General features: G+C 34.3%; 1 protein-coding gene across 13 annotated transcripts in view; it reads right to left on the bottom strand.

Annotated features, from left to right (window-relative positions):
- Positions 1,034 to 16,440, bottom strand: part of SLC4A4 (solute carrier family 4 member 4) — a 509,424-nt gene continuing 494,017 nt past the window's right edge. For 12 of the 13 annotated variants that reach the window (XM_024454268.2, NM_001440628.1, NM_001098484.3 and 9 more), the window contains 5 exons: positions 15,232 to 15,405; positions 12,863 to 13,024; positions 9,228 to 9,324; positions 6,034 to 6,113; positions 1,034 to 5,329 (listed from right to left, as the gene is read on the bottom strand). In XM_024454268.2, the coding sequence (XP_024310036.1) occupies positions 6,070 to 6,113; positions 9,228 to 9,324; positions 12,863 to 13,024; positions 15,232 to 15,405 (477 nt within the window). In that variant the 3' untranslated portion in view covers positions 1,034 to 5,329; positions 6,034 to 6,069. The remainder of the gene's footprint in view (positions 5,330 to 6,033; positions 6,114 to 9,227; positions 9,325 to 12,862; positions 13,025 to 15,231; positions 15,406 to 16,440) is intronic. The other variant, NM_001134742.2, reaches the window with a different exon arrangement.

The raw sequence follows: 16,440 nt of genomic DNA, 5'->3' as shown, positions 1-16,440 counted from the left end.
TGTTCTACCTCCTAGTTTTCAGGGGCATCAGGTAGGATATATAGCATAATGAAGGGTTGGTAAAAATGCAAAAACACATGCAAAAGTATACTCTTTTCCATAATATACTAAATTTGATCTAATTTCTCAACTTTTATTGTTATGCGTGGCAATATTATTTAATGAATCTTCTGTGTGTATGCTGAAAATTCAGATTCTCCCATATTAGAATTTATTCTGTGTGTGGCTTCTGCTGCTTCTTTCAGCTCAAAGATAAACTCCAAATCCCATTCCCTAGCCCCCATTATCACCACCACTATCAGTCCCCTCATGCTCAGAGCGATTCTGTTATGTTTTCAGATTGAAAGATTGAGCCAATGTCACTGCCTCATTAATTTTGTTTTTACGTCACCTTTTACTGCAACCAGAAGTTCTCTTTCATCACTTCTATTATTTGTTCCCCCTCCCCCCACCCAACACCACCACTCTCTGATTATAATTTTGGACTGAAACTACCTAGAGAATTTTAAATAGTACACAAAACCTTGGATAGGCCCAGCAAAAGTGTATATAATGTATCTTCTGTGAAAAATCATTCTAAGATTTCATTCAATTGAACAATTATTTTTTAATAAGTACTTTTTGTGCTTAGCAGTTTGTTTTTTGTTTTTTTTGTTTTGTTTTGAGAATTAATTTACTGTATACCTCATCCTGGATTCAAGAAAGTGGTATTTTATATTTCACTAACTTTATAAAAGAAGACAATACTATCTTCTCAAGAAAAAATTCCTATTGCTCTTAGTTGGACCTATTTTTTCTTGCTTAGAATCTTTGCATAATAGCATTTCATTAATACTTAGATAATTCTTATAATCTTTTTAAAAATATAATTTGGACACTAATTTTATCCTCCTGCCTGGGGTAACTAAAGCAATCTGGGGACAGAGACTCTGACTTGATCATCTTTGTATTCCCTGCAGCACCCAAAGAAGTAAAATAATGGGCATTTAACAATTATTTGAGGAGTTGAACAGAAACACTTGACAGTCATAAATGCATAAAGTTACTTTATTTTTAAGTATACATATAATTTTGAAAAATATAAATGCTAAAATATCTCATCTTCTTCATCTCTTAATTCCATAAAAGTCACAATAGAAAGCTTCATAAAACTGTAAAATACTATGTTATAGGAATTTTAGGATTTATATTGGAAAAAGTTATTAGTAATATATTGAAATGTTTTCTGTTCTTTATCATTTTGTTCCACCATGTTGATCTACTTCATTTAAAATAAAAAGATGCATCATTTCTCTCTCCAAAGTTAATAAAGACTTAAGAGAATAAAAATAAGAATATCTGAAAGTGCGTATTGATTCTGAAAAGTAATGCGTACGAATATGTACCAGCCATGAAAATGGCTAAAAAGAGGCAACTATTCACTCTTTTCACATTGTAGGACTGGGACAAAGTTACTTCTGGCTCTAAAAGTTTCACTGGATGACTTTAGCCCTGAGTTGCAATGTTTGCCTAGGAAACAGAATTCTTGCTTTTTATACGTACCCATAGAGCACAATGAAATGAGCCAGGAAATTGGACATATCTAAATCTCTGGCCAAAACACAACTTGACTGGTTGGCGTATTACACAACTTTTTTAAAATTTCAGGCTGCAATGAAGCTCAATGAAATCATCTGAAAACTCATGGCCTTTCAGATAGTGAGGTGCTACAAAATATCACTTGATTGTACCCAGCCATTTGGTGCCACTGGGCTTCATGCTCATGCTGTGAAGAGCAAATGTGAAATATCATGAAATATAAATCAGAAAATCTCAGGTTCCTGCACCAAAATCATTAAGTAGTATGAAAAGGATTGAAGAAGGCTTTGTCCCATCCCTGAACAATGTCAACCTCTGTAATACAACTCAAATTATTTCATTTTGTTTTTAAAATATAGTCAGCAGTCAATACATTTCAAGTACTTTAACACAGTTAAAAAAGGAACCAAAAAACTCGGAAGACAATCATTCTCTATTAAACACCAGTATACAGTTGATAAAAGATTTACTCTGTATGGGTTGGTGCATGAGCATAAAATACACGCAAACTGAATTACAGACAGCAGACAACTGTTTTTCCTCCTCTCTTGGAGGTGGAAGGCTGAGGAGAGAGGTTTTTGTTTTCCTACTTCTTAAGTCAGTTAAGTCCTCTCCCCAGCCCCACTCCTCAACCTTGATTGGGAGAAGAGGCAGGGACATTACTGCCCCTGGCACACAAAACAATTAGAATTCCAAGTATTCATTTCACACAGTAGAGAAGATGACTTTTATCAAGGAAAACAGTGCGTCCAAGATACTTTTCTCCCAAACACAAAACCAGAGGCATTTTTGCTCTTTTGATAAGGCAGACACTTGACTTAGTCATCTCTTTTCTTCCAACAGTGTTTCTGCAACCACAGCCAGGACTTTCTGGTTAACAACTCTGAGCGTACTTTGTCTTTATCTTTTGAATCCTTTATCTCCGGAAGTCACATCATGGAGAAGGGAGAAGCACTTATAAAAAAATTTACTGTTGTAATTTGTGTCCAGTTTGCATAGAAACAAAACCACCACCAAATCTGGTTCATTCTTAGTCAATGGGTAAATTCAGTTAAAATACCGATAATTTGGTGTCACTAGGTAAACCTCAGGTTTTGCTTGTTAGTTTGGTTAACTACTTCTGTTCCTTTGAAAGTAATGACATTTTTAAAAACTTCCCTGGGTTCCCAGAATATTGAAAGGATTTGATATTAACTGTCTGTTTAGCAAATGTAAGGTACTATTCTGTGTTCATGTCATAAATATCAATATGGATCATAAACAGAAGTACACATAGGTTTTACCTCTACTCAGAGGCTGAAATGATGAGTTAAGTTGCTTCAGGAGTTCTTTGAAAGGTATAGAGAGGGGCATGAAACCACAGATACTTGATTCATGATCAGAAAAGAAAGTTTTATCTAGAGCTTTTATAAAACAAAAGTACCTTTAACTTAAGAAGATCACGGGTTAAGCTGAATTTACTATACATGGTTTTTAAACAATTTATTGATGCTTCCATGCATAAAGAAAAAAGGAAAGTCTTCTTATACCAGTTTATATTAGGGTAATAGAAAGCTAGATAATATAGACTCATCATTTTAAGGATAGCCCTAAATACAAATGTGAAGCCAGAATTTGGCAAGTGAGGTTTTAACACAATAACATATAATTCACCACTATTATTTTAATGAAAAAATTGGGGTCATTATTGACTAATTTGTATAAGTTAAAAGTTTTAGGAGTATCAGGTACTGTAAAAGTAACAGCTAACTCAGGATAATAAAATTTTTGTAATCAAAATTACAAGGAGACAGAATAATAACTTAATTAACATAACAATGAGTGGGAGTCAATAAGTGCATATTATCAAACCAAAAAATGTGGTTTCATTCTGCTTCTAGTATACCCCTCAACAACTGGTTATAGTTAGGATATATCACAGTTGTGGTTATATGAATCTGAAATTATAATTTTAACATTTAAAATGTTTTTTTAGTATACATTCACAATATGTAATGTATCATATTAAAAATATTACCTTTAAATACCACGTTAAATTTGGTTAATAAATGTCTAATTTTCAGTGTGGTACTTTGAAATATACATACATATAATATGTACACAAATATATTCTAAATGTCCCGCTTACAAAGAATAATTGCCTTTGCATCCTGAAAAAAATTGCATGAGAGTACTGTTACACTGTACTCTGCAGCTCTGCAATCCCATTACATTTTATAGATGTGTAAATGGGCTATTAATACTCCTATGAATTTTATATTGCATGTTAGAGCTATTATATCAATTATAATGACTGATACCTGGGAAATAAACTATATTTACCCTCATTTTCATATGGACAGACTTCTTGGACCCTTAATGGATTTTTTCATATGTGGTTTGGGTTTTATGAAAACTGGCATAAGAGATTCAATGACTTTGCCCTCTGCCTACCATCACTCTTTTGCCTTCTAACATTGCACATATATACACCAGCCATGGCACAGAGCACATACACAAACACACAAATATTTCAAAATGAGAAAATGTCTAACAATACTGCATAGGACATTGACGTGGTAATACAACCAGCATCTGTACCTAGATGCTACTATTATCAGAACATCGGTTATTCTCATGACATAGGAGTTTGTCTCTTCTCCCTCAATCTCCTTCATAGAACAGTTAAGTTTCTTTTAAAGAAAGGGAAAAATGGATGCTTAGAAACATGGTGTTTTTAATCTGATCTTGCCTTCTGGCTTACCCTAGAGATTGTGTATTTGTGTGTGTATGTATGTGTAAAAATCACATTATATACAATACAATTTTTACAGAAAGCCTGGCAGCTACAAATAAGAGGTAGAACTACTCAAAACTATGTTTCCTGCTGCAGGAAAAAATTCATTTTCTTTACAGTAATTAAAAAAAAGTTTTAAAAATTGACAAAAAATAAGTGGCAGGTTAGGCCCCATAATTTAAACAACAAAATCTAGGAAGAAAAATATTCTTCAATGTACTCAACAGATAAGTTCATTAAAGGGTTAAAAAAAGTTGCATAGGAAAAAAGGGACATTCCAGCACTTGCTACAATGATGGCAATGGTTTCTCTATAGGGAGTAAAGTACCTTCAGTTTTTTCTTCTTTTGATAACTCTAAGATTAGGATTTACAAGCAAGAGCAAGTTAAAATAGCAGCACTTTTTCCAGTCCTGGAGAGCTCTATAAGTGAGAAGGGACTCTGTCTGGAGGTCAAGGTTTGTTCTACCAGACAAAGACAAGCCAGTAAGCACAGCTCCAAAGCTAAAGTTTTAAGTTCCTTCAACATTTTCATAAAAGGTGTTACAAAATCCTTAATACTTCCATCCTCTGCTTAATAGAGGCAAAGGACAGGGTCTGTGCGTGTCTGTGTCTTGAGTGACAGAATTTGGTTATCAAAGGACACATCTGAAAGTTTAAGAACAAAAGGGGGATTCCTCAGATGCTGTTTTTAAGGAACGGTGCACTATTGTCTTGATTGTGTCTATGCAAGAGAGAAGCAGAGAGAGCGCTGTATTATTTGGCCTGTGACCAAAAACTGAGACGAAATAAAAGTTAAAAAATAAACAAACAGCCAAACAAAAACAAATGACATTAACAACAAATGTCAGTTTTAAGAAAGACAAACAGGTTACAATGTAGTTTCTGTTCCCTTGCTCCTCCAGAAATAATCATTGTCTTCAGGTTCAAGTTCTATTCTAATTTGAGGCACAACTTTTACTGGAGTTCTAGGAGGACTAGAGAAAAAGGAAAAAAAAAAGTAGTAAGTAAATCAGATTTCCTTCATCATCTGTCAAATGTTTATGCATTGTATAGAAGTCAAATGTGTCCTTCTTTGTTCTCTTTTAATATTTATATTCTCTTTGTGTATTAAAAACAAACATTTTAAATGGGATGAAGGTTACCAGCAGAGTCAAGAAATTCAAGTAAAAAAATTCATAAGATCTCATACCTAGATTAAATTAATAAAAACAACAAACACAAAAGGAAAAGAGGTACTACCAGGTGGGTAATGCTGTCAGAAATTAAAGGACAAAAAGACTGACATAATAAAAACATTCAGAGATTTCAGAAAATCAAGTAGAATCTGAAATCCCTAGAACTTCATTAAGAGGGAAAGAAACCACTGGAGAAGAACTGTCAGAAAGTGCCAGTTACCTCTTTAAATCAGGGACGATACTGAAATTAAAAGAGCTAATGTTGATCCTGGGTTGTAACTTAATGATACTGAAAGATTCCATTATTTGTAATAGTAACTAGGTCTCTTAGAATGCTTTCTACTAGTAAAAGCTGGAACAAGTTTTGGTCACTGGGTAATTTATTTAAGATAAATAATAGAGACGAAGGAGAACAAGAAGTTCTGTCAATAACCCACCATTAACTACATTTCTGTGGGGCAATTATCCCACAGAAAAACATAAAATACTGGGCTCTCCTTTACCTTGGCATACCGAGTGACTGAAGGAAAGGAATTTTATCAGCATGATGTGTGGCGTTCAAGGAATGTTGGTGATCTTTCTCCTGGAAAATAAAATTTTTTAAAAACATAAATGGTAGATCTTTGGTGAAGTATAAAACAAAAATCTTCACAAAATTGATGCATCTTCCATAACTGGTAAGAGTAAAAAAGACAAGTTTAGGCATTTCAATAAACAAGGTATTAAGCTAAGACTCTAGTGTGATGAAGACAAAATCACTTCATCTCTTTTACTTTAGGTTTTCTGGGATGGATCACTGTTGTCTTGTCAGTGAGAAGGATAAGAAGCAAATCATTTTTAGAGGGTGATAGCATTCTCTTAATGCCTAAGGCTTGCTTTTGGATTTCCTTCCATCTTCAGTATTCCTAGGTTTGCCTGCTGTTGTTCATAAGGAAAAAAAGATTTTTTTTTTTGAGGCACTTACTCATACTGCAACACTACTTCTATCAGTTTTGTTCTTTCATCATGGATTATAAAGATAAACATGACATTAGGAAACATTTCAGGCAAAATGCTCAAGTGTATTTTGTTTAAGTAAACTTCTAATATCATATCAACTTGCAATTTATCCTTTAAAAGGGGTTTTGAGAGGATGAAGGGCAAATGGCACATAAACTTTTTCCATGAGCCTCAAATTCTGGCTAGTAATTTTTTTAAAAAATAGCTTTTACATTTCTTTATAAGGGGCTATACCAGGTTATGATGCCAACAGAAGACATACATGCTAGGCACATGTCTGTTAGACTGTGCTTTTGCTATTAATGCTCCATGGAGAAAAATGAAGTCAGAACATGGTTTGAGGAGTTTAAACTCAAAAAGAAATTCATAACCAAACCCCATTAATAGGGGTTAGCAGAAATTAGCCTCGGTTACAAGTTATAGGTTACAAACTGGACACCAAAGGTAAGACTGCTTTAGTTCTTTGTTCTTCAAATCCAGGCTGGTAGCCAGCCTCCAAGATGGCTCTCAGTGATCCTGTCTCCTGGTATTTATGACTTTGTGTAATTCCTTCCCAGTGTTAACAGTGTGGGGCTGCATAACCACCAGAATATGACAGAAGTAATGGTCCGTTACTTCTGAGATTTAGTTATAAAAGACTGCAGCTTCTGTCTTGGTTTCTTTCTCTTTTATCACTGGCTCTGAGGGAGGCCATATCATGGGGAGCCCTACGGAGATACCCACAGGTAAAAAACAAAGGTCATCCCAAGGGCCCCATGAGTATGCTTTTGGAAGCAGACACCCAGCTTCAGACACTAAAATATTTAATGGGAACCTCAGGGGGTGGATACCTATGCTGTCAAGAATGTTTGTTACAGAGATTTGCAGAAGAAGAAACAAAACCTGCTCTGTTCTAGAATTCACGTGTTTCCTTACAGTCTTAGCACAAATGACTTCATTTTGCTTTGGTTTGGTCTGTTGGGGCCCAGTGCATGAGCTTAGTTCAAAACAATGGCTTCCCAGACTTTTGTTTAAAAAAATTTCCCCTTTTTAACCAAATTCATTTCCTCTTGCCTAGAGACCATCAGCTTCAGATGATCACACAACAAAGGTTCCAGCCAGTTCCAGGTGAAGACAACACCCTGGCCATCAAGAAGCTACCCTGCCTCCACTAGACAGAGCAGGGTGAGAGTTCAGGGATCCCCAATAGGTAGGAGTATGCCCCAAGCCAGCATGAAGCAGTTACAGAAAAAAGACCATCGGTCCCTCTGCCTCCCATGAAGATGTATGGAGATCACATCTCTCAGTGAGGAGATGTGGCAGGAAAACAGTGTCTGGAGGCAGGGAACATAAGGCCAATTCACACTTCGGCTATGACAGGAAATATCCTCTCCATGGGGCGTGGGCCAAATAAATGAGTTTGTAACTTTACTTCATCCTCTCCATTTACATAGGGCGTACCCCAAGTAGAGGGTATTTAAACTCCCAAAAATTTTGTAATGGGGCCCTTGAGTCCCTATTCTTGGGCCCACTCCCACACTGTGGAGTATACTATAATTTTCAAATCATCCTTTCATTTCTTCCTGGAAAAAAAAAAAATAGTCTTCAGAGACTCAGCCCCAGCTGACAGCTTGACAGCTCTGACGGCAATCTCATGAGAGACTCTGAGCCAGAACCAAAATCAGCTGCCCCTGCATTCCTGAATGTGAGGAATTGTGTAAGAAAACATGTTTGTTCTTTTAAGCTGCTGAGTTTTATTGTAATTTGTTACTCAATGATTGATAACTAATATACCCATTATTTTTTATCAATAGATATTCATTCCAAACTTTTCTTGATAGCAGTAACCTCTTATTGTAGTTGAGGTGGCATGGTAAAATAGAAATAAAAGTGTCTTAACTGTCTTTTTCTGTAACAGATCAGTGTACTCTGAAGTGCATCTGAATCTAAAAGGATGCATTTTCTTCAATGAGAACGCAAAGTAGAAAGTAGCTTGATGGCAATTGCTACCTGCTATTGGGAAAGTCTGAAATGGTCACTAATATTACTAAGTGGCCTGTTAATTCAATTACAGAAGAGAAAAATGTCACAAACCATTGCACCGTAGTCACCAGGCTATCACCCTAGAAAGATCAGTGCAGTTATAATAATAATTTTGAAATAGCAAAAGGGAGAATGAAGAGATTAGAAAGCAAATGCATATAAGTTATATCTAGAAAGTTGTACTAATACTTCATGATTGCTAATTTAATCAAAATTAAATTTTTCCAAATTCTCAATATTAACAATTGATTTATTGATCACTGAGAGACCAATGATGCAATTTCTCTTTTGAGCTGATTTGATCACTAGTTAAAACCTAAGGAAGACAAACAGTGACAGTGATGTAGTATTATAAGCTGCAATTCTCAATACCAACAGAAAAAAAAAGAAAAATCAATTAAAAACATGGTTATTAATTTAGCCATTGGAAAAACTGGGGATGATTTGGGTAAGAGAAAAGACTACCAAATAAAAATTTAAAAGTTTATGGATAAAAGGAAGAATGAAGCTTAGGGTATGTAAAAACAAAGTTTTATTATAATTAAGTGTAAATCTTCTCATAGAAAAAGGAAAAACAAAATTGAGGGAAAGTTAATGCAGATGGCCATTCTAAAGTGTTTTCTCTGTAAGTGCAAATCATATTCAAGCAAGCATGCAAGAGGTTAGTTCTACTCACTGTCAGAAGGTTTGCTATCGCTTAGGAAAGGTTGCTGTTCCATGATGTCCATTGGAATTTTAATACTTGGAACTTTTTCTGAGTATGGGCAGTCAGACTGTGAAAAAAATGTACAAGAGGTTTTAGAATGTTTTTATTATACAGCCCTTCCTATCTCCTAGCATCGATCAAACCGTTTTCTATAATCATTTACATACTACTAAGGAGAAAAGCCTTATAATTACTTCCAGTTTGCCATCTTTTAACTGCATTCCTTCTTTCCCCCTCACATTTGTTTTCCACTCTTCTAAGTTAATGGTATTGAGTCAATTAAAACTATAACTGCACAAAATAGAGATCGATCTACAACTGAATTGTAAAGCTTTCTATCAGACTCCCAATCAGCAATGTTTATGAGTTGTATGTGTGAAGCAAATGATCTCAATGCAAAAACAGATTAAACATAGGAAACTTCCCAGGTTATAATACGGTCTTGAAATTCTTGTTTTGTTTATGCTGATTCCGTCTCTAGATAAAATCATGACCGATCTTTCCTTCTAGAACAAGTGACAGACTTTTTATATATCCACTATCAAGAAGCCTTCTATGTACACTAGAAAATAAACTTTCCTCTCTTACTTTAAGTACTATTTTATGGATAAAGGTTCATTTCAATTAGCTTGTGCCAAAGATATCTGAAAATGTAAGCAAAACATAAGAAAATAAAATGTTTAAAAAGGTGTCTATGATGGTCAGATAAGCAGAGAATCATAATGGAAATGACAAAACCAGGCAGCTAATCATGGGACTGCTTAAAGAACAAGCCACCTAGCCCAAATTATAATAGATTTCCCAAAGATTACCACTTTGTTTTTTTTAAATGCATTATATTGATTCCAAGTCTATGTTTGGGCTGAAAGACCCAATATATCTCTTAATTAAAAGTACCAAAAAGATGGTTTTTAGTTGAAAATAAAATGAGAATTAATGTTAATAAAATCTTAACATAAAGCCTATTACCTACATGGAAAATTCCTTTATTTATGACTCTAAAGAGGTTAATGAACAACAGTATCCTTTTAGAGAACTAAGATAATGCATTCAACGAGCAAAAAAGAAAAAAAAATAAAGATGCCACACATAAACAATATTAATCTTAAATGTAAAGGGGCTAAATGCCCCAATTAAAAGACACAGACTGGCAAATTGGATAGAATCAAGACCCATCGGTGTGCTGTATTCAGGAGACCCATCTCACATGCAAAGACACACATAGGCTCAAAATAAAGGGATGGAGAAATATTTACCAAGCAAATGGAAAGAAAAAAAAAAGCAGTGGTTGCAATCCTACTCTCTGATAAAACAAATTTTAAACCAACAAAGATCAAAAAAGACAAAGAAGGGCATTACATAATGGTAAAGGGATCAATGTAACAAGAAGAGCTATAATTTTCACTAATTGTGCTCATAAATATTATATTATAGCTGTAACCCTCATGTCCCCGCATGACTCCCTATATCCATGGGCCCCAAACCCTATGACTAAAAAGTAAACTTAGGAGAACCACATTTGTAATGTGGAGCCCCTAAATAATGAGTTCAACACACAGAACATACTGCACAGACGTACTCTAAATTGCCTAGCTGGATTCACTGCCTAGGAACCAATGTATATGTTTATTTGTTTGTTTGTTTTGGAAAGGGTAGGATGAAGAGGAAGAGGTAAAAAACAAGTACGACACTTTGGCTTCAAGAAATCTGTTGGAAACACAGAGTTGAACATGGTAAATATTAATACAAAAAAACACTTTAAATGAAATAGGATTTGTTGGAAATCATATCTAAGAATTGGAAGAACTTCTAAGGAGTTCTTTTGATCCAACTTTTGTCACTAGAGAGCAGTACATTTAAAACATTCTCCAAAGCTGATATTTTACTATTTTTTCTCAAAAATCATTACAGAGGGGGATTCCATAATCCCCGACTTCACACACTCATAATGTGTAATGAACTTTAAATTTGATGTCCAGGTACATAAGTTGACATATTTATTTTGGACAAAATACTGCTTTAATTATTTTAATATTTCAGGCAGCCTTTTATTTTTTTGGTCTTGAGTGGTCCAGAAATTCATTTCAAATTTTAATTTCTATTAAATGTGTAAACACATCGTTCTTCGGACTATTACGTCTTAGTCTCTTCTGTAGTTTAAACACATTCTTTTTCTGTCATCATTGGAAACAAAATCTATATACCTGTTCTCATTGCAGATGGATGATGACAGACATAAAGCTCTTTTCACCTCTTTTTCTCTTTAGCTAAATGTGCCTCATGCATTAAGCCTTTTTCTTATTGAATCAATTTATGTGAAATCCAATTCTGTCTCTTGCCTTCTTTCACTGTACTATTTCCAAGTTCTACAAAAAGAATACAATCAGATAGCCTGACCAGTTAGAAATAACCAGAGAGGCCTGGATTTGAGTTTTGGCCTTGCCACTATGGCTGTGTACAATTAGAAAAATGACTTATATATGTCAAAGCATCACCTTACATATATACAATTTTATTTGTCAATCGTACCTCAATAAAGCTTTAAAATTTCTAAAACATATTTAACATTTCTCAGTCTAAATCTCCTCATCTGTAAAATGGGAACAAAAATAAATAATGTGATAACAAGCTATTGAGACAATTAAGGATAAAGTATGCAATGATCAATCAAAGTTATCAAGTACTAAGTAGAAACTAACAATTAACAATATTCCTACTTTAGAATGGGTAATGAGGCACAAAAAATCATTTGTGATACTGCACTGTGTAAAATCCAGAGCAAATTTTCAAATGGAAAACATTATTTTGGCAATCTTTTCAAAAGGCTACTGGAATAAGGTGTCCGCATGTGTTAAAGTAAACAAATCCCAGTTTTCCTCCTAGTACTGATTACAGATCCCTGCTGGAGAATCTGTATTTCTGTGAGCTGGTCTCCTAAAGAAAAAACTGGGCAACAATTTTACTTCTCAACTTAATCACCTAATTGGAGGAGGACCCTCTGGACTATGACACTAACCACTATAATTATGTAAAAAGACCCCAAACTCCCATTCCCTTTTCTTTTTATTGAAGAACTACAGAAAAATAATGCTGAATCATATCAGTATAAATATAATGCTAATATTAATATAACAGCATAGAACTTTGGTGGAGAGCCTACTCAAATAGATTCACAGATCACGTGAAGTGAGATCATTGACATCTATCCACATTAGGCTTAAAATTACATAAAATTGAGTTATTATCTCAAATATAAGCCCTGGGTTATTAATAGAAACCAAATACATTTTATAGCATTACTAAGCAAACTTCCTTTATATCTATGAGATCAGAATTTTTTTAATGTGGTGGGTTTTTAAATTTTTTAGAAGTCATTATTAGTCATTATGTCATTATTAGTGTATTAATGGTTACAGAAAGAATTCAGAAAACATAAAAAACCAGAGAATATAAAGGGCAAAGGGAGGTGAAATGAGTAATACACCACATGTCCAGATAAACATTCTTAGAACTCAGCCCTCCATTTCACATCAGGTATAAAAAGGGACAATTTTCACATTTGTTTCTTTAACTAGCTTTCCTTTGGAATTTGGAAAGTTCCTTACATCATCATTGTCACTGTCCAGACTTCCCTTCTTCTTTTTCTTTTTCTTCTCATCCTCCTTCTTTTTCTTGTCCTTTTCTGGAATGACATCATCCAGGAAGCTGAGGTCGTGCTGGGAGAAGAGGTAGTCCATGCCTTTTCTGACAGCTACAAGTGCCAAGATCTGAAAGAGCAAATATTAAAAGTATGAAAGAAACCATGTCAGATGAAGTCACAGCAAGCATAGATACTCTCCTATCAAAGACCACAGAAACCTACTTTGTGTAAGGCTAGATAGAGTATGACAGACCTGATCTTGACGGTATGGACTTATACCGAGTGAACTCTCATAATTTTCTACATGGGGAAAGTTGTTTTATAAAAGTCTTAGTTGAAACTCACTTTGTTTTGTTCACCAAAATGCATGATCACATTCAATTAGAATTTTAATGTGAAAAGATTGTTTTTCAAAACCATTGCCTTCCATGTGAGATTTTAAATAAAATAATTAAAAGTTTAAAGTAAAAAAATAGCTGGCATATGATTTCTAAGTATTAAAAATTAAAACATCATAAAGGTTTTTAGCAATCAAGAAAATCTGTACGACACATATAACACTAAGACATCTTCAAAGTATTCACAATGAGGTAGTATTTGAATATGCATAGACCATTTCATTCACTGGGCTACTTCAATCACCACCGTTAACTGAATATTTAACATGTCCCAGACATTATGTTAAACTCTCAGGCAATATTATCTCATTTATTCTTCAGAACAAACCCCCAAAATAGGTATTATTATTTTTATCATACAGCTGAGGAAATTGAAGGTTAGAGACATTAAGTATGTTGTCCAAGGTCCTTAATGTCTGTGAGGGAGATGAACCCAGATAACTGAATAATACAAAGGGTCCCAGTTGTCTGCTTCCAAAACAAATATTCTTGACCTGTGTATTTTTGGTTCTATGAATTGCTCTTGAAGAATAACTTCTGAAGGTACATTAAAGATATCTTTATTCTATATTAAAATTAATATGCAGCAAGTTATAGGCATCCTGACTTGCTTCAAATTAAGCAGTTGTCTTTATCAGCATCGTGCTCTCTATATGACAGTTTCCTCATCACCTAGAGAAATAAATAACATCTGTCCTAACTTCTATTACAGAATTATTTTGTGACCAAATAAAAGTTCTGAAAAGACAAAAACACTTTGGAAAAGTAAACCATTTTAAAATTATTATTTAGCACAAGCAAAAAGTGATTTATTGGATATAATTCAAATGTATCCTGGTCTAGCTTCAATTTTCTTGGTTTCAGCAAAATTTGTAGGTAGGCAGATAACACTAATAGGTATATTTGAGTGTTTCTCATACTCAGTGTGCTTTTCAGTAAGTTAATATAGTTTTTTTTTAAAAAAAGGAAAGAAAGACATAAGCCACCATTAAGAAAAAAATCTGACCTAACAAATATCACTAGTATTTAATATCCATTTTTTCTTGCATCCTTGGACGAAAAAAATTTCAAACAACAAATATGAAAAATAAAATAATAATACTGGCTAAGAGTAAGAGGATTCTTATAAAAATAAAATGTGGTAAGTGTAGGAAAATTCTGTTTTCAAAGCTGTGGGGGAGATAAAACAGATTTGAGGCTCCCTTTGTGACTTGTTTTAAGTGTACATATATGCATTTTCTTGCAAGAAGTAAAGAGTTATGGTAAAGTATAAAATTCAGTAGTGATGCCAAATACAGAACTCCTTTTTCTCTTCTTTCACTTGTGACTCAGAGTGAAACGTTAGTTGCTTTACCTTGTTTCTCATCATACTATGACAAGGATAGAGAGTCCCACCTTATCTTTAAACTTACCATTATGCAAACCACAAGAAATGTAAAAAGTGAACTTCTCACTCCATTTCCTCTAATGTACTGGATGAGTTCTCACAAGTTGCCAAGCACTTCTTTATTACTTGAACTGAAATGTCCTACACTCTTACTTAGATTAATTCTATTATACAACATTTAAAAAGTAATTAACATGCACTGGTGTCTACTATGTGTCAGGCATTGTGCTACATGCTTGATATTAATTTTTGATGCTCAGAAAAACAACAATGCAACTCCCATTTTACTGATGAGGTAATAGTAGTTCAAAGAAGTTTACTGCTGAGCATGAACGAGGGCCAGTATCTGAACTTAGGTGAGCCTGATTCTAAGGTCCATCCTAGACAACCATAAACATGGGAAATGTAAATTACAACTGATCAAAGTGATGAGGTCAAAGCTGGAAAAATTTGGAACAACACATAAAAGACATGTGTGTCTTCCATATAACAATAACCACATGATACTCATATAATCTCACAGGTACGTTCAATTAAAGGAATCCCTACCATTACTGGAAAAATGATAGCAGCCACCGTTGACTTGAGGATCCAAAGCAGGGCCAGACACAACACCTGCAGGAAAGTGAACAGGTGGACTCTGCGCAGAGGAACATGACGCAGGTAGATGAAGTCAGGCTGATGCTTCAGAGGCATCAGAAGCAGCTTCAGACGATCCATGAACTGGGGAGGAAAGAGGAAAGGAGTCCAACTGCATTACTGCATTACATTTCCACTATGCCTAACTAATCACTACTGATTTATATTCTATAATTTAGGCAAGCAGTGTCCTTTTCAGAGGACAAAGGAATGGTCAAGGAATGCAGAAATTTAGTCAAGCACACTAAAGCACAAGTCTTCAAATCTTTATTATTATATTGCGGGAATGTTATGTAGATGTATAAGAAAAAGTGGCCACTAAAGAATAAGGTCACAAAGAAAAAAAATTCTAGGAGCTCATCTCCTAATTTCTATTTTTACTCTCTGAGTCTCAGGAAAGTGGATCTTTTGCCTATTTTAGTACTAATATGCTGAAGGAAGATGTCTAGCTCATGTATCTTACTCTGCCTCAGTTGTCTTATCTGAACAAAGAGGAGATGACACTATGCATCATATATTAATACATTTCCAGAATGTTTTAAGGATATAAAGGAAGTATCCAACTTAAAAATGGGAATACATTATGTTTTCATAAATTCCATATTACTTATCTGAGTGGCATACTTTGACTAATACACTCAGCAATCTATCACCATTTCTTTTCAGAGAAAAGCCATATGAATACTACAGTGAGTTTCAGGGTCAACATCTGAATCTAAGGGATGCTATCGTATGGTGATGTATAAACAGCTATTGAAATAACTACTGAGCATCTGTGTGTCAGGTGCTGTGCTTCAAAGAATAACTGCCGAATTGACCTTGCCAGTGACGAATGGGAAGATATTCAAGAACCTATCACAGGATCTTTCAATGAAAGATGCTCAGTAAATAGCTATTGAATTGAATAATCATGCAATATGAACTCTGAAATAATATCTCTATTTTCTTTCTGGAGGGAAAGAAGTGCAAAAGTAAATTAGACCATCACAATCTTCTCTAGTGATTTCCTACTTAAAGGGTTTTCTTTTTCCCTCTAGAACTATTTTTGACTGGTGAGGACCTTCTCATTTATAAAGTTTGGGTTACAAAATTTCTTTACAAATTACAAAATTTTCTAAA

This window comes from Homo sapiens, chromosome 4 (genome assembly GCF_000001405.40).
Source record: "Homo sapiens chromosome 4, GRCh38.p14 Primary Assembly".
In the NCBI taxonomy this organism is placed as follows: Eukaryota; Metazoa; Chordata; class Mammalia; order Primates; family Hominidae; genus Homo; species Homo sapiens.
Note: the sequence above shows the minus strand (reverse complement) of the source record. Positions and strands in the feature narration are given on the sequence as shown.